The 24,986-nt window shown below is 52.5% G+C and overlaps 1 protein-coding gene across 8 annotated transcripts, besides 6 other annotated features; it reads right to left on the bottom strand.

Annotated features, from left to right (window-relative positions):
• On the bottom strand, positions 879–12,748 carry EVPLL (envoplakin like). Of its 8 annotated transcripts, none has more exons than NM_001145127.2 (11): positions 12,543–12,748; positions 9,526–9,624; positions 9,005–9,159; positions 8,796–8,923; positions 7,888–8,013; positions 7,662–7,700; positions 7,341–7,501; positions 7,148–7,255; positions 6,939–7,034; positions 2,238–2,307; positions 879–1,669 (listed from the first exon to the last, which is right to left on the bottom strand). In NM_001145127.2, exons 2-10 carry the CDS (start codon positions 9,586–9,588, stop codon positions 2,278–2,280), a joined length of 906 nt encoding a protein of 301 aa, NP_001138599.1. In that variant the 5' UTR covers positions 9,589–9,624; positions 12,543–12,748; the 3' UTR covers positions 879–1,669; positions 2,238–2,277. The 8 variants fall into 8 exon arrangements, with proteins under 8 accessions (NP_001138599.1, XP_011522284.1, XP_047292494.1 ...); XM_011523982.3 differs by having other exon boundaries at positions 7,897–8,013; XM_047436538.1 differs by having other exon boundaries at positions 9,526–9,581.
• Positions 962–1,674: an enhancer, noted in NCBI's record as "H3K4me1 hESC enhancer chr17:18292166-18292878 (GRCh37/hg19 assembly coordinates)". NCBI's record gives its function as "activates a minimal SCP1, AML or CMV promoter by ChIP-STARR-seq in primed H9 embryonic stem cells {active_cell/tissue: H9 hESC(primed)}" and the evidence as "EXISTENCE:reporter gene assay evidence [ECO:0000049][PMID:30033119]".
• Positions 6,860–7,430: an enhancer, noted in NCBI's record as "H3K27ac-H3K4me1 hESC enhancer chr17:18286410-18286980 (GRCh37/hg19 assembly coordinates)". NCBI's record gives its function as "activates a minimal SCP1, AML or CMV promoter by ChIP-STARR-seq in naive H9 embryonic stem cells {active_cell/tissue: H9 hESC(naive)}" and the evidence as "EXISTENCE:reporter gene assay evidence [ECO:0000049][PMID:30033119]".
• Positions 7,239–7,348: a silencer, noted in NCBI's record as "silent region_8277". NCBI's record gives its function as "represses an Ori minimal core promoter by ATAC-STARR-seq in GM12878 lymphoblastoid cells {active_cell/tissue: GM12878}" and the evidence as "EXISTENCE:reporter gene assay evidence [ECO:0000049][PMID:35858748]".
• Positions 7,431–8,002: an enhancer, noted in NCBI's record as "H3K27ac-H3K4me1 hESC enhancer chr17:18285838-18286409 (GRCh37/hg19 assembly coordinates)". NCBI's record gives its function as "activates a minimal SCP1, AML or CMV promoter by ChIP-STARR-seq in naive H9 embryonic stem cells {active_cell/tissue: H9 hESC(naive)}" and the evidence as "EXISTENCE:reporter gene assay evidence [ECO:0000049][PMID:30033119]".
• Positions 9,946–10,447: an enhancer, noted in NCBI's record as "H3K4me1 hESC enhancer chr17:18283393-18283894 (GRCh37/hg19 assembly coordinates)". NCBI's record gives its function as "activates a minimal SCP1, AML or CMV promoter by ChIP-STARR-seq in primed H9 embryonic stem cells {active_cell/tissue: H9 hESC(primed)}" and the evidence as "EXISTENCE:reporter gene assay evidence [ECO:0000049][PMID:30033119]".
• Positions 16,671–17,171: an enhancer, noted in NCBI's record as "H3K4me1 hESC enhancer chr17:18276669-18277169 (GRCh37/hg19 assembly coordinates)". NCBI's record gives its function as "activates a minimal SCP1, AML or CMV promoter by ChIP-STARR-seq in naive H9 embryonic stem cells {active_cell/tissue: H9 hESC(naive)}" and the evidence as "EXISTENCE:reporter gene assay evidence [ECO:0000049][PMID:30033119]".

Here is a 24,986-nt window from a genome sequence, read left to right as displayed (position 1 = left end):
GGAGACTTCTGGAGCCTGGATTTGGACAGCCTAGGGGTGGAGGTGGTGAGGGGCAGGGGTGGGGCGGGAGGAGAGGCCTTGCATGACAGGGTGCAGGGCAGGAAGCCAGCCAGGGACTGCTTTGCAGTGGCTGTTCCCATCCCCATTCCCACCCCCAAACCCACCCCTCCCCCCACCCTGGTGCGGGGTCGGTTGTGGGCAGGTGTCCTCTGCTTTGGCCTCAGCAGATCCCAAGAGGGAAGCTGGCAGCCACGTGGGCATGTCACTTGTGTCAGCTTTGTCCTGCAGTTTCTGCTTCCTGGAGCGTGGGGCGCCCACCCAGGAGAACACGGGCACACCCCACACCTCTCATTTTGAGGGTGCTGGGAGGTGGGGGACCTAGGTCCTGCAGCCCTGTGCTTGTGCCGTGAAACTTAGCCTAGGAGTCCCGTGTCCGCCCATCCACGTGGAGCCCCAGGAGCCTGAACAGTGGCATGCAGTGAGATGAGGAGGGAGAGAGAACTGGAAAAGGAGACAGAAAGAGATGTGGAGCAGGGAATGAGAGAGAGGAAGAGACAGAATAAGAAATACTTGGGGAGAAGTATTTCATCCCTCTGGGGTGCCATGACTCCTCCCTGCTATGGATGGAGGAAAGTGATTGATCTGCCGGAGACATGAAACCACATGATACTTCCTTCCACAATAAACTGGAGGGTCAAAACAGGCAAGAGTAGGTCCAGGTCTTCTAAAAGCCATACCTGAAATGTTTCCAATAACAGTTGATTTGGTGGTGGTAACTCAATCACACAAACAACCACAACAAAAGACACAACTATCAGAGATTTTCAGATAGCCTCAAAAACACCATCTAACATTAGAGAGTTCAAAAAGGCATGAAGTTTCAAAAAATTGAGCTTTATTTACATATCATTTGCATAAACTGGTAATTTAACAGTATGAATAAATTCTAGGGCAGAAGACAGTTTGGAGACCCCAGGGCACAAGTGCTGAGTTTGGAAGATTTGGTACTGTACCCTTTGAAGCCCTCACCTGGTCCCCGCACCCCTTGCCTGCCTGTTAAGAAGAGCCCGTACCAGGGAGCAAATCAGGGGCAAATAGCCCAGAAGCCCAGTAGTGGACAGACCTCCATGCCTGGAGGAGGAGGCCACCTCTGAGAGCAGGAGGAGCTGCCCGAACCCTTCCTCACAGCCTCCTTTTCCTGCTCTCAACACCTCCAGCTTGCAGATAGACAGCCCCAGCACCGGCAGAATGAAAAGGTCCTGAGGCAGCAGGGCTGTGGCTCTGGTAAATAAAAGAGGCCTCTCTTTAGTAAGGTAGAGGAGCTCAGACTGCACACCCTGGTCTCTGACACCAAGGCTCGCTCCATGCCCAGGACTAGGGGCAGCGTGGGAGCTGCTGGCTGGGGCCATGCTCGCAACCTCTTCTCTGCCACGTCTATCTCCAGCGATGCTCTCAGCTCCAGGGCTGAGCCCAGTGGCTACAGCAGGTGGCATGAGGTCTGGCAGCTTGTCGCTTTGCTGGTCTTTGGCTGTATCGGTGCAGGGCCCGGAGGACTCTGGAGCTACCTCTAGCTGCAGCACTGCCTCTGGATGGGGACTTCCCCATGCTGTGGGCTGTGGCTCCATAGCGGGCACTGGAAGTTCCTCTCTCTCTGCACGTGCGGCAAGAGCTGAAAAAGGAGAAAGGGTCACTGAGCAGGTTTTCTGTGTCTGAGCCCCAGAGTTCAATCTCTGCTGACCAGACCCCCACTGACCAGACCCCTGAGCGGTGGTGTTCAGAGTCCCCTACCAATGGCCCTTCTCAGTCCACAGACCTCTCCCTCCCCTCATCAGCACCCACAGGTGACTGAGAGTCTTCTCGGGACCGGACCCCAACTCCAGGACACAGGGAGGGGCAGTTTGTCCCAGGCTCCGGGTGCTGAGCTTCACGCTTGTGCCACAAGGTCCTCTGGGCCATCTCAAAGGGGGCAGTGATGTGGCCTCACACATCTGGATGCACTGTCTGGGCCTATTCCTGAGCCACATAGCCAGAGGAACAGGAAGCTGTTTGTCAACCCAGGTACCCCACTCTGCTGGGTCTCCCAGGGTCCTTCCCATGGAGGCCAGATCCAGAGACACAGCACAGAGGCAGCAGGGTGACCGGCCCAGAACCCTTGAGACTAGGCTGGGGATGACAGGAGGACTGTCCCCAGACAACCAGAAGACCCTTTGCTAGTTTCTTGGTACTTCATTTCTCACCTGCTACCCTTACTCCACCAGAAATCCCCTTCATGCAGAGTCAATGAGGAGAGGAAGATGGACACAGAATCTGTGGAAAGAAAGAAAACAAAAGATGGGTGGGGAGAAGAGTTGGGAGTGTAACGTTGTAAGGGTCCTACACTATGGGTATTATTTGAGGGTTGGCTGTGATTAATTAAAGGTGTGCCTTGTAGACAACCATTACACACACTATAAATAAATTTTATATATATATACATATATATGTATATATATATATATGGAGAGAGAGAGAGAGAGACAGGGTCTTGCTCCATCACCCAGGCTGAAGTGCAGTGGCCCAAAACAGCTCACTACAGCCTTGACTTCCCAGGCTCAAGCAATCCTCCCCACCTCAGCCTCCTGAATAGCTGGGACTACATGTGTGGGCCCCCATGCCTGGCTGCTTTTGAAATGGTTTCTTGTAGAGACAGGATCTCGCCGTGTTATCCAGGCTGGTCTGGACCTCCTGCCCCCAGGCAATCCTCCAGCCTCGGCCTCTCAGAGTGTTGGGATTACAGGCATGAGCCACTGCACTCGGCTTACACATGTTTTTAAGAGGCATAAATACGAAGGTCAGTGTTGTCATGAGGTCAGGCAGGGGTGGGCAAACTATGGCCCACAATCCAGATGAAGCCCCCCTCCTACTGTGAATAAAGGTTTATTGGAGCCACAGTTCCTCCCCTGTGTTCACTTCTTGTCTGGGGCTGCTTTGGGGCTGCAGTGGAAAGCTGAGTAACTGCTGAGTAGGTGCAACAAAGACCACAGGGTCCACGAAGCCCAAGATGCTTACTACCAGGTCCTTTGCAGAAAAATCTTGCTGAGCCCTGGGGAGGGGCCAGGTGGCACCAGGGAGGCCATTGGGGAGGCTGGTACAGTAATCCAGGTGAAAAATGAAGGGAGCTCAGATTAAAGCGGTCATGACAAATGGCTGGAATCAGGATATATTTTGGGGGTATGACCAATATATGGATAAAATGGACAGTATTTAGAGTTTCAGATTTTCTTTCTGCCAAAGGATCCCTTTCTTAAACAAAAAAATTATACAAAAGATCAATTAAAAAACTGACCAGGCCAGGCGCGGTGGCTCACACCTGTAATCCCAGCACTTTGGGAGGCCGAGGCGGGCAGATCATGAGGTCAGGAGATTGAGACCATCCTGGCTAACATGGTGAAAGCCCGTCTCTACTAAAAATACAAAAAAAAAAATTAGCCATGCGTGGTGGCGGGCACCTGTAGTCCCAGCTACTTGGGAGGCTGAGGCAGGAGAATGGCATGAACCCAGGAGGTGGAGCTTGCAGTGAGCAGAGATCAGGCCACTGCACTCCAGCCTGGGCGACAGAGCAAGACTCTGTCTCAAAAAAAAAAAAAAAAAATTAACCAAAAATCATGTCAACAAGATTATTTGTGTGATTGAAGCTGGGGTTGAGCCTAGGCACCCTAACACCTTTTCAGCACCCCTAACACCCCGGCTGTTCCAGAAGCACCCTATAGAGCCCCTTGGGTTCAAGCAGAACTTGAAACCACAGATTGGAAGGAATAGAAATCTGCGTATCTTTCACACAAGCCGTAACATTCTAAGCTGCATCTTTGCAGCACACTGACATGGGGCTACTTCACCCACAGCCGGCAAGCAACTGCACCAGTGCTGGGATTTGTGTCCACCGTTATAAGAAGGCAGCTGCTTGCATGAGGCATGGCGGTGAGGAAACAATGCCACCCGGATTTCACCATTGGCCGTGTGGACTGGCTGTACCATGGGCCAGACGCATGTCTTGGGCAGACACTTTTTAGATGCCAACTTGCCTGTAGACAAAGATGACGCAGAGGTGGCCTCAGGGAGGGCCTATGTGGTGGGTTGAATTTGTCCCCTGAAATTCCTATGTTGATGTCCTTAGCCCCAGTGCCTGAGAATGTGATCTTATTTGGAGACAGCGTCTTATGGAAATAAGTTAAAATGAAAAATGAGATCAGTAGGGGGTGCCCAATTCAATATGACTGATGTCCTTATAAAAGGGCAAATTTGGACACAGAGACATGCATAGAGGGAAGACCAGGTGAAGAGACACCGGGAAGGCCACCTACACGCCAGGAGAGAGACCTGGAACAGAGCCTTCCCGCACCGCCCTGGAAAGGGACTTTCCCTGCCGACACCTTGATCTTGGACCTACAGCCTCCAGGACTGTGAGACAGTGAGATTCTGTTGCTGAAGCTGCCCAGTCTGTGGTACTTTAAGGAAGCCCTAGCAAACCAATGCAGCCTGGTAGCCCACAGCTGGTGAAAAGATGGAATGAGCGATGGAGACTCAGGCTTCCTGTCTATACCTCCCAAAGTGCACTATGGGATCTTTTGCTGGGTGTAGGTTTGCAAGATAGTTCTGGCCAGGGTGGGGACGGCGGGGTGCAGGGTGCATAATTTCAGTGTATATTATCATATGTTTATCTTACTGTGTAAATGCTTGTAAGAACAGTTAACCAACTTAAAGTTTATATGCTACTCAAGATACAGGTTTAAATGCTAATAAAAATGGATGCAAATGAAAACACTGTCCTGCTGTGGTCCAGGGAATCTTGATCTTTCCTTCAGAGAGACTTGCAGCTTTGAGCAGGAGCTGCCCTTTCCTTGCTGCCTACTGCATGCTCCCACAACACACATGCACACACACATGCCTTTGCACACAGCTGGACACACGCATACTGTGCTTCATGCCCTCATTAAGGAGGCACAGAAGGGAATGTATCTGTTAGGAAATGAAGACGGCTCAACTCCCTGGTTCCCTGGGTGTTTGCACAGGTGCCCTCTGTGCAGACCATTCTTTGGTCTCTTTCTTCTCTTAGTGAAGGGAGAAGCAGAGCCCCAGTGGGTACCCGGCTACTTTGGGCCCAAGCCAAGGTCACAAGCTTCCTTGGGAGCCTGGTGAGATGGGGGCACCACTGGTCCTCCCGAACCGAGGGGGCAGCGTTCAGTGGAGCCATGAGCCCAGGAAGGTGATAGACAGGATGACTCAGTTCATTAGAAACAACCAAAATCCAGTGAGGAAGGGCAGCCCTCAAAGGTTTTATTCTCCAGGAGGAAGGACTCTCAGGGGCTGCGAGCAGCAGGCACGAGGGCTTTATTGCACCTGCAGTTAGGTGATGGTGACCTACAACTGCACCGGAAACTGGGACCCAGAGTGCCCCGACCTCCTGCTCTGTCTCTCTCTCCCTCTCTCCCTTTCTCCCCCTCTGCCTCTCTGGCTTCTCTGTCTCTCTTGTCATCTCTTGCCCCTTTCCCCATCTCTGTTTCTCTCTCTCTGCTCTCTCCATCCTCCTCTCCCTCTCAGCCTCCTCTGTCTCTCCCCCATCTCTTTCTACCCATCTTTCGCTGCTGCCTCCTCTGCAGACGAGCTGAAGCCAGTGAGTGGGAGGAGCACCACCCAATCCATCCACAGAGAGCTGAGGCTGGGCCCCAGAGAACCGGGTGGTCCAAGGGAGGCCCAGTGCCCCCTGCACCACACCCACTGGAAAAGGAAGCCCCAGCTCTATTCTGTTTTGTTTTAACAGACAGGGTCTTGCTCTGTCACCCAGGCTAGAGTGCAGTGGAGTGATCACAGCTCACTGCAGCCTCGACTTCCCGGGCTCAAGTGATCCTCTCACCTCAGCCTCCCAAGTAGCTCTGACTACAGGCATGCACCACTACATCCAGATAATTTTTGTATATTTTTTGTAGAGACAGGATTTCGTCATGTTGCCCAGGCTGGTCTCCAACTCCTGGGCTCAAGTGATCCACCCGCCTCGGCCTCCCAAAGTGGTAGGATTGCAGGCATGAGGTATTGCACCAGGATTTTTTTTTTTTTAAGACAGAGTCACAGTCTGTCACCCAGGCGGGAGTGCAGTGGTGTGATCATGGCTCACTGCAGCCTCAAACTCCTGGGCTCAAGCAATAGGCACGAGCCACCATGCCTGGCTAGTTTTTATTTTTATTTTTTATAGAAACAAGATCTCCCTATGTTGCCCAGGCTGGTCTGGAACTACTGGGGTCAAGCAATTCTCCTGGCTCGGCCTCCCAAAGTGCTGGAATTACAGGTGTGAGCCACCACACCTGGCCCCCATGAAATATTTATACCACAGATATGCTGTATACAGCTTAGGTGCTGTATGTGGATCTGTACTTCATGCATAAAAACAGTTACTTTTCTGCCATTAAGAACGAATTTTCACCCCCCTGGGAACGGCTTCACCCTGTTGAGAATGTGCCCATGCCTTTCCTTCCCTCTGGGACCGAGTGGCAACCACACAGCTCTATTTTATTTTATTTTTTAGGTGGAGTCCCTCTTTGTCACCCAGGCTAGAATGCAGTGGACCATTCTCGGCCCACTGCAACCTCCGCCTCCTGGGTTCAAGCGATTCTCCTGCCTCAGCCTCCTGAGTAGCTGGGATTACAGGCGCGTGCCACCACCTCTAGCTAATTTTGGTATTTTTAGTAGAGACAGGGTTTCACCATGTTGGCCAGGCTGATCTCGAACTCCTGACCTCAAGTGATCGGCCAGCCTCAGCCTCCCAAAGTGCTGGGATTACAGGTGTGAGCCACCGCGACTTGCCAGCTCTGTCTAGTTGAGAGGTGCAGTGCCTCTCCTGTGGGCCGGTGTGCTGTGGGACCTCCCGCCCTGCCGCCCTGCCGCCCTGCCGCTGCCCGAGGGCTCACCCGGCTGTAGTCCTCCACGTGCTGGAGCTGGGTCTCCTGGCAGATGCACAGGTTCAGGAAGTTCTGCCACTCCATCTTCAGGGCCTCCTGGTGGGCCTGGGTACCGCAGCACGGAGCCCTCGGACCACGCCCCGCCCCCGCACCCACGTCCACCCCCCCCTTCCCCGCCCACCACGTCCCTTCTCACTCTCGCCCTGCCCCCAGCGCACCTGGATGGGCCCCACCGCGGGGTGCCGCAGCTCCACCATGCGCTTGCCGTCCTCCTCCAGCTGGTTTACGCTCTGCTCCTGGCTCAGCAGCTCGTGCTGCTTGAAGTGCTGGGGGCGAGTCGGGTGGGGAGCGGCGGTGAGGACCAGGATGGCCCTGGTCGCCCCCGCCTGGCCCCAACCTCTGCCAGCCGACCTCGTATTCCCGCCGCACGCCCGCAGGGTCGGCCATGAGGTCGCTCCAGTCCTGCTGCAGGATGCGGCGCTGCTGCTCCGCCAGGGCGCTCAGCTGCCACGTGCAGCCCTGCAGTGCGTGTACAGGCTGCCCAGGCTCTGCCCGCGCCACGACGCCGCCCTCTGTGCTCAGGACCCGCCGCCAGCAGCAGGGTGGGGAGAGAGAAAGTGGGGGGCAAAAGGCGCCATTGGGCGGCGCTCAGGAACACTGGCCCCGGGCAGGGTCCGGGCGGCCACCCAGGCCCACCTGCAGCCACCCTGCCCGACCCTCCCTCCTGCTCACCAGTAGGTCTCGGTATTGGCTCCGGATGGTGGCGGCATCCTGCCTTGACCAAGGGGAGAAACAAGCCCGTGAGAGGTGGGGCACAGGGAGACGGCCCCCTAAGATCTGGGCAAGCCATACCCCACCCACCCCTATCCCCAGGGCCCAGCCGATCTAGCTCCGGCTCTGACTGGAAAAACAGGGGCTGGGGCTGGCCCCGGATGTAACATCTTCCCGGCTCACCCACCGGCCCCACCAGGCTCCGCAGCTGCTCTCCTTGGTCGTTGATCTCCTTCTGCACGATGTTGAGCTCCGCGATCTGTTCCTCCAGCTCCGCCATGCCCGGCCCATACTGGCCTGCGCAGACCAGCTTCTGCAGGAGAGCCGGCGGCTCAGTCACCACAGGACCAGGGTGGAGAGCCAGAGAACCCCACACGTCTCCCACCCGGAGAAGTGGACTTGGTCATTTGGGCAGAGCGTGGACGAGCCTGAGAGCAGCCCGGGTGCACGCCCTGCAGCTCACCCAGGGTGAGCCATTCTGCTCTGCAGGGTGGCCACTGCAGAGGCCATTCTGCAGTGGCCCCTGAGTCCCACTGGTTCCCAGACGCTGGGCTCAGCCTCAGAAGTCTCCAGCTCCATCCTGCCTTGTCTGTGACCCAGCCTCAGTGCTTCCTGCCTGGACACCTCCAGCCAAGCTCTAGGGCCCTCAGAACGCCCTGCTGCACCCGGGCCCTTCCCCACTGTTCCTCTATTGTCATGATGACACCCCTTCTGTGTGGCATCAAAGCACAACTCCTCAACCAGGGATCAGAATGCCCCATGTCCTGGCTCTGCCCACCTGGCCAGAAATCCCCACTTCCCATCGAATCCTAGGCTTCCTCCTGGCAGGTGCCTTTGCTCCTTCTTTCTGGAATTGTCCTCTCCTCACTACTTCACCCTGACCCAACCGAGCCCTCTCACCCCTCTGAGGTCTCTTCATGTGCCTCCTCCTACAGGAAGTCTTCCCTGACTGCACTGTCTCCTCTGCTGTCTCCCTGCCCAGACCCCTGAGACACCACTATACACTGACTGTTCAAGCCTACAGTCAGGCCCTGGGTTAAATGCAGTTCCGTATCACCCTCTGATCACACTGGGGTGTGACTTTGAGCTCCTGACCTGTTTCTGCTCCAGCACGTGTGCCCAGTCGACCTTGGATCCCACGTCGGGGCGGCAGCACCATCTTCTCGTACAGGGCACAGTACTCCGCACACTCCTGGGTCACCCGCTCGTGCAGCTGCTCGATGCTGTCAAGAAGGTGGCCAGCAGGTCAGGGCTGGGCCTGGGTCTTCCCCAGGGACCCCCAGCCCTGCCGCAGCCCCACTCACTCCTTCTCAGTCTCCTCAGCCTGCGGGTGCTTGAGCCGCCGGGCCTTGTCCACGTCCAGGAAGAGGTCCTTGAGCAGCACCTCGGCCTCCTTCAGGCTGCTGCCCGTCTCCTGCTGGTGCTGCAGGGCCTGGCTCTGCTCACTGTTCAGCCGGTCCTGTGGGCAGGGGATGGGCAGACTTGCCAGGGTCCAGAGCCCCCACACCCCTGCTGCCCATCATTGTGGGCCTGAGCCCCACCTTTGGGACCCCAGCTATGCTGGCCAACCTCGAGGCCCACGCCAGGCACAGGGTCAGGCCCAGGGCGTCCATGAGGCAGGTGACAAAGACACAGGGGAGCCCAGCAAAGAAGGAAGTTGAGCCCTCTCTCCCACCGTGTGTTAGGGGACAGGCGGTGCAGGACAAATGTCATCTGTCCCATCTTCACCATCACCAGGGGGCACTCAGGGAGTGCCAGGCCTGATGATGGGCCTCCCATGCCACCCAGCCTGCCCACACCCTGCCAACTGCTGCCGGGTTCTCACCTGCTGCAGCCTCTTCTGCGTCTCCAGGATGTCCCGCTCCACCTGGTCGGCGCTGGCTTGCATGTGGGAGATGAGCAGGGTCAGCTCCTGGGTGGCATTCTTGGTGGGTGGAGGGGACAGTGGGCAGCTCGGTGGAAGAGGCCCCTCTGTGCCCCATCCAGGTGGCGTCCCCTGCCCTCTCTCCACCCCATCCCGCCCCCACAGCCTAGCACACTGCCCTGACTTTGGGGTCTCTCTCTGCAGGAGGCTCTGTGAGCTAGACCTGGTTGGGGGTGTTAGCACTGCCCCGCCACATGAGGGGTCAAAAGGTGAGGGTCTCAGGTCTGTGTGGTGCTGGGTGTCAGGCGGCCTCGGTGTCCCAGCCTCAGCCAGCTGTGCTGGCAGTGAGTTCCCGACCCCACCCAGCTGCCTGCCACTTCCCCCCTGTGAGCCGGTAGTACCTGAGCCAGCCTGGCTGGGCCCTGGGAGGGGCAGTTGGGCTGGCTGGGGCAGGGAGGCAGCAGCATGCCCCCCACCCCCACCTCCTCCCACTCCAGCCCTGTGTTCCCCTATACCTCCTCCACCCCAGGGAGCTTTGCCAGAGTGCTGGCTTCAGCAGCCGTCTAGAGGAGCCTCACACTGTCAGAGTCGGGGAGCGGGGGCAGGCGCAAGAGACTGCTGGGCACCCTAACATTCTCCAGAGTTGAGGGTTCAAAGCCCAGATTGTGCCCTAACTTGCTCTGAGTTACGTGGTCAGGGACGGAGGGGAAACCTTGCTTCCACCCCAGGGCTTTTTCTGTGCATTCGCCCTGCAGCCTCCATAGAGCACCTGCTGTGTGCATGCAGTCACTCTGTGGAGGTCACAAGGCCAAGCAGACCTAAAAGAGGGCAGATTGGTCCAAGCCTTATGAGCACAGTGCCTTATGGGGGATCATTATCCTGGGGCAGGGGAAGCCTTGAACTGGGTCAAAGGATGGGCCCCCCCAGGCAACGGGACAGTGCTGGTGAAGGCACAGCAGTCTGGAAGAACTCTGTGGCCAAGACAGCCTGGTTTCATCTTTCTCCATCATTAATGCTGTGTGACCTTGGGCAAGTTACTCAACCTCTCTGTGCCTGAGGTTCCTCACTCGTAAAGCAGGATTTTAATAAAAATATCTATGCCTTAGGGCTATTGTGAGCATTAATTGAATTTATCTGTCTGAAACATCCAGTGCAGGCCTGGTGCAGAGTCGGCACCCAGCACGTGTTAGTTTTTATCCCACTAGAGGGCTAGTGCCTTGAAGGCAGGGGCCTGTTGGTTCTGTCTACAGCGACATCTCCAGTGCCTAGAACAGTCCTGGCATGCAGTAAGTGCTCAGTAAGTTCATGTCAAACGAGTGGATCGCACGTGAGGTGATCCAGAGCCAACAGGGCCCTGAGGACTGAGCTGCCCCAGGCCAGGAGCACACTGCTGGGGAGCCTGCCTGGACAGTGGGAGCTGCAGGTGCTGGGCCCTGGGCACTCCTGCTCAGGTCCCGCCTCCTGGGATGGCTGCTCCCACCAGGAGCTGCACACTCCACCCTGGGTGGGGCTCAGGTGCCCCAGGGAGGACAGGTCACTCAGTGAGAGTGTTAGCTGAGAGTCTTAACCACTGTCTTTCCCGTCGGCCCAGACGCCCAGACTCGGTGTCTGTTGGTGCCTTGATCCCTATCGGGGTAATGGGCACCCCCACTCCCACACCAGCTTTTCATCCCTGAGCTTATCTCGACACCCTGGACCCAGGCGGGCTGCTGCCTCCTCTGCAGATGAGCTGAAGCCAGTGAGTGGGAAGAGCGCCACCCAATCCATCCACAGAGAGCTGAGGCTGGGCCCCAGAGAACCGGGTGGTCCAAGGGAGGCCCAGTGCCCCCTGCACCACACCCACTGGAAAAGGAAGCCCCAGCTCTATTCTGTTTTGTTTTAACAGACAGGGTCTTGCTCTGTCACCCAGGCTAGAGTGCAGTTGAGTGATCACGGCTCACTGCAGCCTCGACTTCCCGGGCTCAAGTGATCCTCTCACCTCAGCCTCCCAAGTAGCTCTGACTACAGGCATGCACCACTACATCCAGATAATTTTTGTATATTTTTTATAGAGATGGGATTTCGTCATGTTGCCCAGGCTGGTCTCCAACTCCTGGGCTCAAGTCATCCACCCGCCTCAGCCTCCCAAAGTGGTAGGATTGCAGGCATGAGGTATTGCACCAGGATTTTTTTTTTTTTTAAAGACAGAGTCACAGTCTGTCACCCAGGCAGGAGCGCAGTGGTGTGATCATGGCTCACTGAAGCCTCAAACTCCTGGGCTCAAGCAATAGGCATGAGCCACCATACCTGGCTGTTTTTTATTTTTATTTTTTTTATAGAAACAAGATCTCCCTATGTTGCCCAGGCTGGTCTCAAACTCCTGGGCTCAAGGAATCCTCCCGCATTGGCCTCCTAAAGTCAGGGATTATAGGCGTGAGCTACCGCGCCCAGCCATGAACCCCTAACTCTTCAATACAACAAGGCCCTGGGTGAGAGCTCTGGGGAGGGCTCTGGCTTAGGCAGGAGGCAGCACAGCCCCTGCATCCCTACCCCAGGGATCCCACCCCACCCCCTCAGTCCTCATGCCCTGCACCCAGGCTCCAGGGGTCATCCCAGCCAAGTAGAGCCTTGGGGCAGAGCTGCAGTCACACAACCAGGCTCTCCTGTGTCCCAGCCTCTGGCAGAGGAGGGCATCAGTGCAGGCTCCTGTCCGGCACTTCTCCCGCTGAGCAGCATCAATCTGTGGCCCACAGGCCCCCTTAGAGGATGTAGGGAGCCCCAGGCCATCCCCTGCCTCCTGCCAGGGCTGAAGTTCGGCCTGGGCCTGCGGCTCCCAAGGCAGGGAGAGAGTCCACCCCTGGGCCCTTTGTCCTCGGGACACCAAATGCCAGCACGGGGCTGGTCCTGGGCTCTGGGCCGCCGCCAGGTGGCTCAAGGACCTGGGCCTGGCACCACCCCCACCCTAGCTCCCTGGCTCCCCATCCCCTAGTCCCACTCACCAGCTGTGCTTGCTGGGGGAGCCTTTGGGGGACCCCTTGGCTGGGGAGTCCTTGGGGGACCCCTTCCCCTGGGAGCCTTTGCTCAGTCCCTTGAACATGGTCATAAAGGCAGGTGCTGGCTCAGGCTGGGCTTGGCTGGTGAAGGAGGGCAGGAGGGCAGGTGGGAGGCAGCGGGCGTCCTTGCTGGCTGGTCAGCTAAGTCTGGCAAGGTGGGGCGGCTGGGCATTGGGGAAGGGAGTTTCTGGGAGGCCCCTCCTTGCAGGTGAGGCAGCAGGCGGCCAGGCCCCAGGCCTGCCGCGCATGCACCCACAAAAACCACACTCATGCCTGCTCTTGCATAACCAGTCTGGGAGGAAAGGGCACAGCCTTGAGGGTGGGGCCGAGCCTGCCCGACTCCCACAGAAGGTTTGGACTTGTTACACCCACATGCCCAGGGGAGCGCGGTGGCGATTACACCCAGATAGGGAAGGAGCTGGGCCAGGACAGATGGGTCTGGAGACAGACGTGCACATGCAGGCGCAGGCTCAGCGGAGAGGCCCCAGCTCTGGAGCTCAGGATTAATAAACATCTCCAGCCAGCTCAGAGGCCCTGCTGCCAGGCTGGCCCCCACCCACAGCTCTCAATCCCCCAGGAGAGGAGGGGGTGTCCTGCCAGCCCAGGGCCTGGCTCTGTGTTCTCCACTGACATGATGGGGCAGCCAGGGGACGTTCACTCCAGACAACTGGCACAAGGTCCATTTTTTTTTTTTTTAAGAGACAAAGTCTTGCTCTGTCACCCAGGCTGGAGTGCAAAGGCACGATCTCGGCTCACTGCAACCTCTGCCTGCCGGGTTCAAGCGATTCTCCTGCCTCAGCCTCCCAAGTAGCTGGGATTACAGGTGTCCGTCACCACGCCCAGAAAATTTTTGTATTTTTAGCAGAGAAGGGGATTCACCATGTTGGCCAGGCTGGTCTGGAACTCCTGACCTCAAGTGATCCACCCGCCTTGGCCTCCCAAAGTGCTGGGATTACAGGCATGAGCCACCATGCCCGGCCCCATTTTATAAAGTGTGCACAGTGCAGCAGCACCAGGGCTGGCTTCAGGTGCCACTAAGCCTGGGCTCTGGCTGAGGCCCGGGAGCCCGATGCACTTGGCTTTTCCTACCTGCCTCTTCCCCCACCCAGAAATGGCCCCTGGTGGCTTTTATGAAGTCAGATTGAGTGGCAGAGAGTGATGCCAGCTTATTGGTCTTTTCCTCACACTGGGGACCAGGGCTGCTGCCTTTTCCTTCTGTGGTGACCCTCAGCGTCTTCAAGAAAGGGGCGATGGGACCCCCCTTTCCAGGCGCTCATTTTACTGGCCCAGCGTAACAGGCCCCTTCTGCAGAGGTGGCGTCGCTTTCCAGGTCATTCCTGAAATCCCCGTGGTTTTAGTGGAAGGAGGGCTTGAGGGGGAGCCAGGGGATGGAACAGGCGGACTGGGTGACATCACCTGGTCATCCTGGCAGGCCTCGCTGAGGACAAAACAGCCTGGCAGGAGAGAAAGGTCCCAGCAGATGGGGGAGACCAGGGACCGACACCTGATACTGGCCTCAGGCCCCCATGGGATAGAAAAGGCCTGTGCCCTTTTTGGGTGAATCTCATGGGAAGCTCCTGAACTCGGCCATGGAGAGGGGATGCAGTAAACCCCCATTCCTAGAGGTGGAGGAGCTGACAGGGGCAGTGGGGGTGGGGAGGGCAGCAGAGGCCCCTGACAGCAATGAGGAAACAAAGTGGTCTCCAGTGTCCTCAGCTCCCGGCCCATGTCTTGAGTGAGATGCCAATAGAGATGACTGGCCACTCAGCCTCTGCCCCAGCCTGCTCCCACTTTATTCCTGGTGACACTTGTCTTCTAACCACTCATTGTACGCCTGCAATCAACTGTCTTCAGAAAGGAGCCGTTTGTGTGAATGACTATGGGGGCCAACGCCAGCCTCACCCCTGGCCTCCCTGACTCACCTTTTCTTTTCTTTTTTTTTTTTTTTTTTGAGACAGAGTCTCGCTCTGTCTCCCAGGCTGGAGTGCAGTGGCACCAACTCAGCTCACTGTAACCCCTGCCTCCCAGGTTCAAGCAATTCTCCTGTCTCAGCCTCCTGAGTAGCTGGGACTACAGGTGCACACCACCACACCCAGTTAATTTTTGTATTTTTAGTATAGATGGGGTTTCAGCATGTTGGCCAGGCTGGTCTCGAACTCCTGACCTCAGGAGATTCGCCCACCTCAGCCTCCCAAAGAGCTGGGATTACAGGCGTCAGCCACCGAGCCCGGCTGCTTCACCTTTGAGCTTGGCCCCTCCCTGGGAGGTGGCAGTCATTGGAAGTGGGGCCCTGGGGAGAGGAAGGGAGAGGGAGAAGAGGAAGTCAGAGCGAGACAACATGAGGAGGACAATACTTGCCTTTGCTGAGTCTGAACAGGGAGGAAGGGCCCACAAGCCAAGGAATGCTGGTGGCCTCTAGAAGCTGTAATAGGCAAAAAAAAAAGAAAAAGAAAGGATTCTTCCCTAGAGCCTCCAGAATAAATGCTGCCTAGCTTACACCTCGATTTTAGTCCAGTGAGACCCATTTCCGATTTCTGACATCAAAAACTGTAAGTAATGAAAACTGCATTATTTTAAGCCACCAAGTTCATGGTAATTTGTTACAACAGCAATAGGAAATGTATACAGTGGGTCATGGAGCCTGGGGTGTGAAGTAGAGGAGAGGGAAGTCGGATTATTTGGCTAGGCTTCATGTTAATGAAAGAGGTTACAGCAGTCATTCCAATTGAGGTAGTATTCTGTTGCTGGATCACCACACCTGTAGGGTATTGTGAACTGGAATGCCATTCTAACAATTATACTTATTTTATAAAACACTCCAATATATTGTGTTGTATATTTTGTGTAACAGGTGTTAAATTTAGTCGATGTAAAAAATTAAAATAATCTTTATAATCTTTTTTTTTTTTTTTTTTGGAGACAGAGTCTCGCTCTGTGGCCCAGGTTGAGTGCAGTGGCACCATCTCGGCTCACTGCAACCTCTGCCTCATGGGTTCTCCTGCCTCAGTCTCCCGAGTAGCTGGGACTACAGGCGCATGCCACCACACCTGGCTAATTTTTGTATTTTTAATAGAGATGAGGTTTCACTGTGTTGGCCAGGCTGGTCTTGAACTCCTGACCTCAGGTAATCCACCCACCTCAGCTTCCCAAAGTGTTTTTTGTATTTTAGTAGAGACGGGGTTTCACCATGTTGGCCAGGCTGGTCTTTAACTCTTGACCTCAAGTGATCCACCCACCTCAGCCTCCCAAAGTGCTGGGATTACTGGTGTGAGCCACCGCACCCGGCCTAATCTTTAAAACACAAACGAGGCTGAGGTGGGAGGATCACTTGAGTCCAGAAGTTCAAGACCAGTCTGGGCAACATAGCAAGACCCCATCTCCACAAAAAATTTTCAAAATTACCTGGGCATGGTGGTACCTACCTGTAATCTCAGCTACTTAGGAGGCTGAGGTGGGAAGATCGTCTGAGCCTCGGGGGTTGAGGCCGCAGTGAGTCATGATCATACCACTGCATTCCAGCTAGGCGACAGACTGAGATTTTGTCTCAAAACCAACAAACAAAACACACACACAAACAACACAAATTATCATTTTATCATTCTGGTGATTGGAAGTGCAAAACGAGTTTCACTGGGCTAAAACGAAGGTGTCGGTAGGACTGCATTCATTTTGAAGCTCTAGAGGAAATCATTTCTTTGCCTTTTCCAGCCTTTAGAGGCCACTTATACTGTCTGGCTTGTGGTGACGTCCTCAGCCTTCAAGACCAGCTATCGTATCACTCTAATCTGCAGTTCCATCATCCCATCTCCCCCCTGACTCTTCTCCTTCTTCTTCATCTGTTCAGGAATCCTGTTCTTAACATTGAGCCCACCTGAATTATCCAGGATATTCCCCTTATTTTAAGATCTGTAATTGAATCACATCTGCACAACCCCTTTTGCCATATAAGTAACATATTCATTCACAGGTTCCGGGGATTAGGAACATCTTTGGGAGGCCATTATTGGGTGGACATCTTTGGGAGGCAATTATTCAACTACCACATGAATTTTTTAAGGTTTGTTTTTTTGTTATCTCCTTATTGAGCTTTTAAGAATTTTTTTTTTTTTTTTTTTTTTTTTTTTTTTTTGTGAGATGGAGTCTCACTCTGTCTCCCAGGCTGGAGTGCAGTGGCGCAATCTCGGCTCACTGCAAGCTCCACCTCCCGGGTTCACATCATTCTCCTGCCTCAGCCTCCCAAGTAGCTGGGACTACAGGCGCCCGCCACCATGCCCGGCTAATTTTTTGTATTTTTAGTAGAGACGGGGTTTCACCGTGTTAGACAGGATAGTCTCAATCTCCTGACCTCGTGATCCGCCCACCTCGGCCTTCCAAAGTGCTGGGATTACAGGCATGAGCCACAGCACCCGGCCAATTTTTGTATTTTTTAGTAGAGATGGGGATTCACCATGTTGGCCAGGTTGGTTTCAAACTCCTGACCTCAAATGATCCACCCACCTCTGTCTCCCAAAGTGCTGAGATTACAGGCATGACTCACCACGCCCGGCCTTTTTTTTTTTTTTTTTTTTTGAGATGGAGTATCTGTTGCCCATGTTGGAGTGCAGTGGTGCTATCTCGGCTCACTGCAGTCACCACCTTCTAGGTTCAAGCAATTCTCCTGCCTGGGCCTCCCAAGTAGCTGGGATTACAGACACCAGCCACTGCCCAGCTAATTTTTGTGTTTTTAGTAGAAACAGGTTTTTGCCATCTTGGCCATGCTGGTCTCGAACTCCTGATCTCACGTGATCTGCCCACCTCAACCTTCCAAAGTGCTGGGATTACAGGCATGAGCAACGAGGCCAGCCCTGCCCCTACTTTTTCTTTCTTTTTTTTTTGAAATGGAGTCTTGCTCTTGTCACCCAGGCTGGAGTGCAATGGTACAATCTTGGCTCACTGCAACCTCTGCCTCCTGGGTTTAAGTAATTCTCCTGCCTCAGCCTCCTGAGTAGCTGTGATTACAGGCATCTGCCACCACACTGGCTAATTTTTGTATATTTAGTAGAGATGGGGTTTCACCATGTTGGTCAAGCTAGTCTCGAACTTCTGACCTTAGGTGATCCACCTGTCTCTGCCTCCCAAAGTGCTGGGATTACAGGTGTGAGCCACTGTGCACACCCAGCCCCTACTTTTTCTTACCACAAAGAATCCAGTCCAAGTATGAAGCCAACCCATGGGGGAGGGCAGAGTTGAAAGAACAGTTCCAAAATGGAGTCGAAGCCCTGATCAAGCAATTCCTGAATTCCAGTGATAACAACTAGAATTTTCCAGTTACCTGAGGCAATAAATTATCTTTATTATTTAAAACAGGTTTGTTTGTTTGTATATTTACAGAACACATTTACTCTGCTATGTGTCTGGAACTGTTTTAAACACTTTACACATGTTAATTCATTCAAACTTACAAGAACCCAGTGAGGTAGGTCCATTTATTCATATTTTACACATGAGCAAACTGAAATGGAGGGACATTAAGCAACTTACCACCATCAATAGCTAATGTATGTTAGAATTGGGTTCTGAACTGACTCACCTTGGCCACTGAGTTCCTGCTCTTAATTATCACACTGCTTTTAAGTGGGTTCTCCAGTGGCATACCCTGAATTAGTAATTTGATACAAGTAGTTTATTTGGGAGATGATCTTTTTTGTTTGTTTGTTTTGTTTTGTTTTTGAGGAGTCTCACTCTGTCACCCAGGCTGGAGTGCAGTGGTGCGATCTCGGCTCACTGTAACCTCTGCCTCCTGAATTTAAGAGATTCTCCTGCCTCAGCCTCTTAAGTAGTTGGGATTACAGGCACGCACCACCACGTTTGGCTAATTTTTGTATTTTTAATAGAGACAGGGTCTTACCATGTTGACCAAGCTGGTCTCCAACTCCTGGCCTCAGGTGATCCACCCACCTTGGCCTCCCAAAGTGCTGGGATTACAGGCGTGAGCCACTGCCTGTGGCCTTGGGAGATGATCTTGAGAAACAGTGACAAGGGAGTAGGATGGGGAAAATAGTCACCAACAGCATTGTTATCAAGTAAATTACTGCTACAGGTAACTGGGTCTTAATCCTGTCGAGGAATTCTGGGAGACAGGGTAGAACACATGTGTTATCTGTTGACGCTTAATGAACCACCCCAAACTTAACGGATTTTTTTTTCTTTAGAAATGTCGCTGAGTCATAACATGGTATGAAACTATCATTAATTGTTTATTATGTCTCTTGGTTCTGGTGATTGCCTCGGCTCAGCTAAATGGTGTTTGCCTTGGGTCTTTCTTGTGGTTACTGTCAGATGGAGGGTGGAGACGGAGACCACAGGTGAAGACCACTCCCATGTCTGATGGCCGGTGCTGTCTGTCAGCTGAGACCTCAGTGGGGCTTTCAGGTAGCCTCTGTGTGTGGACTGGCCCTCCTCACAGGATGGTGGCAGGGTTCCAAGAGTGAGTTTTCCAGAGAGAGTGGACACTGCTCATGACCTAGCCTTGAAGTTCACACAGTGTCACTTCTGTTGCATTCCATTTCTTTCTTTTCCTTTTCTCTTCTCTTCTTTCTCCTCCTCCTCCTCCTCCTTCTTCCTTTCTCTCTCTGTCTCTTTTTTGAGATGGAGTCTCACTCTGTTGCCCAGGCTGGAGTGCAATGGCATGATCTCGGCTCACTGCAACCTCCGCCTCCTGGGTTCAAACGATTCTCCTGTCTCAGTCTCCTGAGTACATGGGATTACAGGCATGCACCACGACGCCCAGCTAATTTTTGTATTTTCAGTAGAGACGAGGTTTCACCATATTGGTCAGGCTGGTCTCAAACTCCTGACCTCATGATCTGCCCACCTCGGACTCTCAAAGTGCTGGGATTACAGGCATCAGCCACCGCGCCCGGCTCCCTCCCTCCCTCCCTCCCTTCCTTCCTTTTCCTTCCTTCCCCTTATCCTTCCTTCCTTCCCCTTCTCCTTCCTTCCTTCCTTTCTTCCTGTCTTTCTCTTTCTTTCTTTCCTTTTTTCCTTTCTCTTTCTCTCTTTCTTTCAAGACAGGGTCTCACTCTCCCAGAAATAAACCCACACAATTATGGCCAACTGATTTCTGACAAAGGGGACAAGGACAGTCTCTTCAGGTACAAAGAGGGAAAAAAACAGCCACTTTAATCAACAGTATTGGTAAAATTGTATACCCACATGCAGAAGAAATTGGATCCTTATCTTACACAGTGTATAAAAATCAACTTCCTTGTTTCTTTATTTAAAATTTTTTTATTTTAAAATTTATTTTAAAAGGCAGGGTCTCACTCTGTTGCCCAGGCTGAAATGCAGGGGTGCAATCTTGGCTCACTGCAGCCTCAACTTCCCAGATTCAAGAGGTCCTCCCACCTCAGCCTCCCAAGTAGCTGAAAATGTAGGCATGCTCCATCATGCCTGGCTGATTTTTGTATTTTTTGTAGAGACAGGGTCTCACCATGTTGCCCAGGCTGGTCTCAAAGTCCTGAGCACAAAGGATACACATGCCTCAGCCTCCTGGGATTACAGGCGTGCGCCATCACACCCGGCCGCATTCCATTTCTTTGTGTTTGTTTGATGTTTGTTTGTCTGTTTGAGACAGGGTCTCACTCTGTTGCCCAGGCTGGAGTGCAGTGGCACGATCTCAGCTTACTGCAACCTCTGCCTCCTGGGTTCAAGCAATTCTTCTGCCTCAGCCTCCTGAGTAGCTAGGACTACAGCCGTGTGCCACCACACCTGGCTAATTTTTGTATTTTTGGTAGAGACAGGGTTTCACCTTGTTGGCCAGGCTGGTTTTGAACTCCTGACCTCAAGTGATCTGCCTGCCTCGGCCTCCCAAAGTGCTGGGATTACAGGCATGAACCACTGTGCCCACCAGCCTCATTCCATGTCTTAGGAGCCTGTCACCAAACCAGCCCTTACCGAGTGTGGCATTGGAGTCTACCTTTTGATGGGAGGAAGGTCAAGGTCCAAGACCAGTCTTGGAGTGTCTACCCCCAGATTGTGTTATGGGAGAGAGAAATAAACTCTTCTATTTTATAAATCACTGGTTTTTTGGGGTTTTTTTTCCTAATAGGTTGAGAATCTAATCCTGGTACCCCATCTTCTCTCCATCCTGAGAAAGCTTTGCCTGCTCTCCTTACTCTCATCATCATCAACCTCTTCACCTTAAGTGGGTTATATTAGAATTTTTATAAGAGCAGGAAAACTTTCCTTTTCAGTGGCGCCTTCTTTTATCCCAGCAGCCCAAAGCTCATGGGCAGCAAAGGTAAGCAGAAAACCTTTTGCTCTGAGAGGCAGGGGTGAGAGACATAAAGTCAGAAGAAAATTGGCCAGGCACGGTGGCTCACGCCTGTAATCCCAGCACTTTGGGAGGCTGAGGCAGGTGGATCATGAGGTCAGGAGTTCAAGACCAGCCTGGCCAACATGGTGAAACCCCGTCTCTACTAAAAATACAAAAAAATTAGCCGGGCGTGGTGGTGGGCGCCTGTAATCCCAGCTACTCGGGAGGCTGAGGCATGATAATTGCTTGAACCTGGGGGGGCAGGGGTTACAGTGAGCCGAGATCGTGCCACTGCACTCCAGCCCGGGTGACAGATCGAGACTTTCTCAAAAAGAAAAAAAGAAAGAAAGAAAATCAAACTAACAGCCACCTGTGTAGTGTAAGTCCAGTGAAATGCTTAGGTGTGTCATATGTTGTTTAACATCTGCTAGGACTCAACATTCCCCGAGGGCACAACCGGGGTCAGTGCAGTGGAATCCTCAGCACTTACAGGAGCCGGCGAGGGAAGAAATGACTACGCCCTTATCAGTGGACACAGACACTCTAAAACATATTTTATTTATGGCTGGGCATAGTGGTTCATGCCTGTAATCCCAGTGCTTTGGGAGGCTGAGACGGGAGGATTGCTTGAGGCCAGGAGCTTGAGACCAGCCTGAGCAACATTGCAAAATCCCATCTCTATCTCTACAGAAAATAAAAAATTAGCCAGGCGTGGTGGTATGTGACTGTAGTCCCAGCTACTTGAGAGGCTGAGGCAGAAGGATCACTTGAGCCCAGGAGTTTGAGACCAGCCTGGGCAACATCGTAGACTCTGTCTCTACAAAAAATTAAATTAAAAAAAATTAGCCAGGCACGGTGGTGCATACCTGTGGTCCCAGCTACTCGGGAGGCCAAGATGGTAGGATTGCTTGAGCCCAGCAGCTTGAGGCTGCGATAAACCATGATTGTGCCACTGCACTCCAGCCTGGGTGACAGAGCAAGACTTTGTCTCAAAAGAAAAAAAAAAGAAAGAAAAACACAAAGACAAAACACTACAAGAGGCAGAAAAAGAATGGAAGACAAAAATACAAAGAAACAAAAGCAACAATTAGAAAACAGTAAAAAAAAAAAGGCAGATATTAATCCAATTATATCAACAATTCCTTTGCATATCAATGGTCCAAATTAACCGATTAAAAGAGAGAGATTGGGCTGGGCGAAGTGGCTCACGCCTGTAATCCCAGCACTTTGGGAGGCCAAGGTGGGCGGATCACGAGGTCAGGAGATTGAGACCATCCTGTCTAACATGGTGAAACCCTGTCTCTACTAAAAATACAAAATATTAGCTGGGCGTGGTGGCGGGCGCCTGTAGTCCCAGCTACTTGGGAGGGTGAGGCAGGAGAAAGGCGTGAACCCAGGAGGCAGAGGTTGCAGTGAGCTGAGATCGTGCCACTGCGCTCCAGCCTGGGCAACAGAGCAAGACTCCATCTCAAAAAAAAAAAAGAAAAAAAGAGAGAGATTGTCAGAGTACAGCAAAAAACAAGATGCAACTATATGCTCCTTGTAAGAACTACACTTTAAAGATGTATATATTAAAAGTAAATGGATAAAGAAAGATCTACTATGCCAACACTAATCAAAAGGAAGCAGGAGTCCCTATATTAATTTCAGACAGTACAGGCTTCAGGGCAAGGAAAGTCATCAGGAACAGGACAGGTGCTGGGTGGCTTCCCAGCACTTTGGGAAGCCAAGGCGGGCAGATCACTTGAGGCCAGGAATTCAAGACAAGCCTGGCCAACATGACAAAACCCTGTCTTTACTAAAAATACAAAAATTAGCTGGGCATGGTTGCACTCGACTGTAATCCCAGCTACTCCTCAGGCTGAGGCACGAGACTCACTTGAGCCTGGGAGGCAGAGGCTGCAGTAAGCTGAGATCATGCCACTGTACTCCAGCCTGGTTGACAGAGACTCTGTCTCAAAAAAAAAAAAAAAAAGAAAGAAAAGAAAAGAAAAAGAAAAAGGAAGGAAGGAAGGAAGGGAAAGAAAAGAAAGTTGTGAGGGATAAGGACAGGTCATTACATAATGATTAAGGAGTCAATGCTCAAAGAAGACATAACAGTCCTTAACATGTATGATCCTGACAACAGAACATCAAAATATGTGACTGAAAAAGTGACAGCGCTGCAAGGAGAAACTATTATAGTTGGCGACTTCAATGTCCCTCTATCAGAAACGGACAGATCCAGCAGGCAGAAAATCTGTAACTCAGTAACACCCTCTGTAACTGGATATAATGGAAACCTATAGACTATTTCATACGATGACAGCAGAAAAAAAAGAAAAGAAAAACGCTTTGGTTTTTCCCGTATCTTAGGCTGGAGAGCAGTGGCACGATCACAGCTCACTGCAGCCTTGAACTCCTGGGCTCAGGAGATCCTCCCCACTCAGCACCCTGACTAGTTGGGAATACAGGTGTGCACTTCCACACCTGGCCAATTTTCTTTCTTTCTTTTTAATTTTTTTCATCATGTAGCACAAAATGTCATAATTTTTTTAATTTTAATTTTTCATAGAGATGGGATCTTGCTATGTTGCCCAGGCTACTCTTGAACTCCTGGCCTCAAGCAATCCTCCTACCTCAGCCTCCCAAAGTTCTAAGATTACAGGTGTGAGCCTGAGTCACCATGCCCAGCCACAAATAAAATATTTTTTAGCTGGGCGCGGTGGCTCACGCCTGTAATCCCAGCACTTTGGGAGGCCAAGGCGTGTGGATCATGAGGTCAGGAGATCGAGACCATCCTGGCCAAAATGGTGAAACCTCATCTCTACTAAAAATACAAAAATTAGCCAGACGTGGTGGTGGGTGCCTGTAGTCCCAGCTACTCAGGAGGCTGAAGCAGGAGAATTGCTTGAACCTGGGAGGCAGAGGTTGCAGTGAGCCAAGATTGTGCCACTGCACTCCAGCCTGGAGACAGAGCAAGACTCCATCTCAAAAAACAAAAAAAAAAAAAAAAAAATTTAAGTATCAGTAGGCCGGGCACAGTAGCTCATGCCTGTAATCCCAGCAGTTTGGGAAGCTGAGGCAGGTGGATCACTTGAGGTCAGGAGTTTGAGACCAGCCTGGCCAACATGGCAAAACCCCGTCTCTACTAAAAATACAAAAAAAAAAAAAAAAAAAAAAAAAAAGCCAGGTGTCATGGTGCATGCCCGTAACCCCAGCTACTCGAGAGGCTGAAGAAGGAGAATCACTTGAACCCAGGAAGCAGAGATTGCAGTGAGCCAAGATCACGCCACTGCACTCCAGCCTGGGCAACAGAGACTCTATCTAAAAAAAATAAAAAAATAAAAAATGAAGCATTCAGTGCTGGAGAAGAAATGGGAAATGGGTATTTCCCTAAATTGTTGCTGGGAGTGTGAATTGTTACAATGCTTGTAGAAAGCAATATGGCAATATTTACTAAAAGCTTGACCCAGAAATCTTACTTTGGATATTAAAAAACTCACGGGTTGGGCACAGTGGCTTATGCCTGTAATCCCACCACTTTGGGAGGCTGAAGCGAGCAGATCATCTGAGGTCAAGAGTTCGAGACCAGCCTGACCAACATAGTGAAACCTCGTCTCTACTAAAAATACAAAAATTAGCAGGGCGTAGTGGCGCACGCCTGTAGTCGCAGCTACTTGGGAGGCTGAGGTGGGAGAACTGCTTGAACCCGGGAGGCGGAAGCTGCAGTGAGCCGAGATCACACTATTGCACCTCAGCCTGGGCAACAGAGAGAGGCTCCGTCTCAAAAAAACAAACAACAGGCCGGGCGCGGTGGCTTGTGCCTGTAATCCCAGCACTTTGGGAAGCCGAGGCAGGTGAATCACGTGAGGTCAGGAGTTCGAGACCAGCCTGGCTGACATGGCGAATCCCTGTCTGTGAGAAAAATACAAAAATTAGCTGTGCACGGCCGGGCGCGGTGGCTCATGCCTGTAATCCCAGCACTTTGGGAGGCCGAGGCAGGCGGATCAGAGGTCAGGAGATCAAGACCATCCTGGCTAACACAGTGAAACCCTGTCTCTACTAAAAATATAAAAAATTAGCCGGACATGGTGGCGGGCGCCTGTAGTCCC

Source organism: Homo sapiens, chromosome 17 (assembly GCF_000001405.40).
Source record: "Homo sapiens chromosome 17, GRCh38.p14 Primary Assembly".
Classification (NCBI taxonomy): Eukaryota; Metazoa; Chordata; class Mammalia; order Primates; family Hominidae; genus Homo; species Homo sapiens.
Note: the sequence above shows the minus strand (reverse complement) of the source record. Positions and strands in the feature narration are given on the sequence as shown.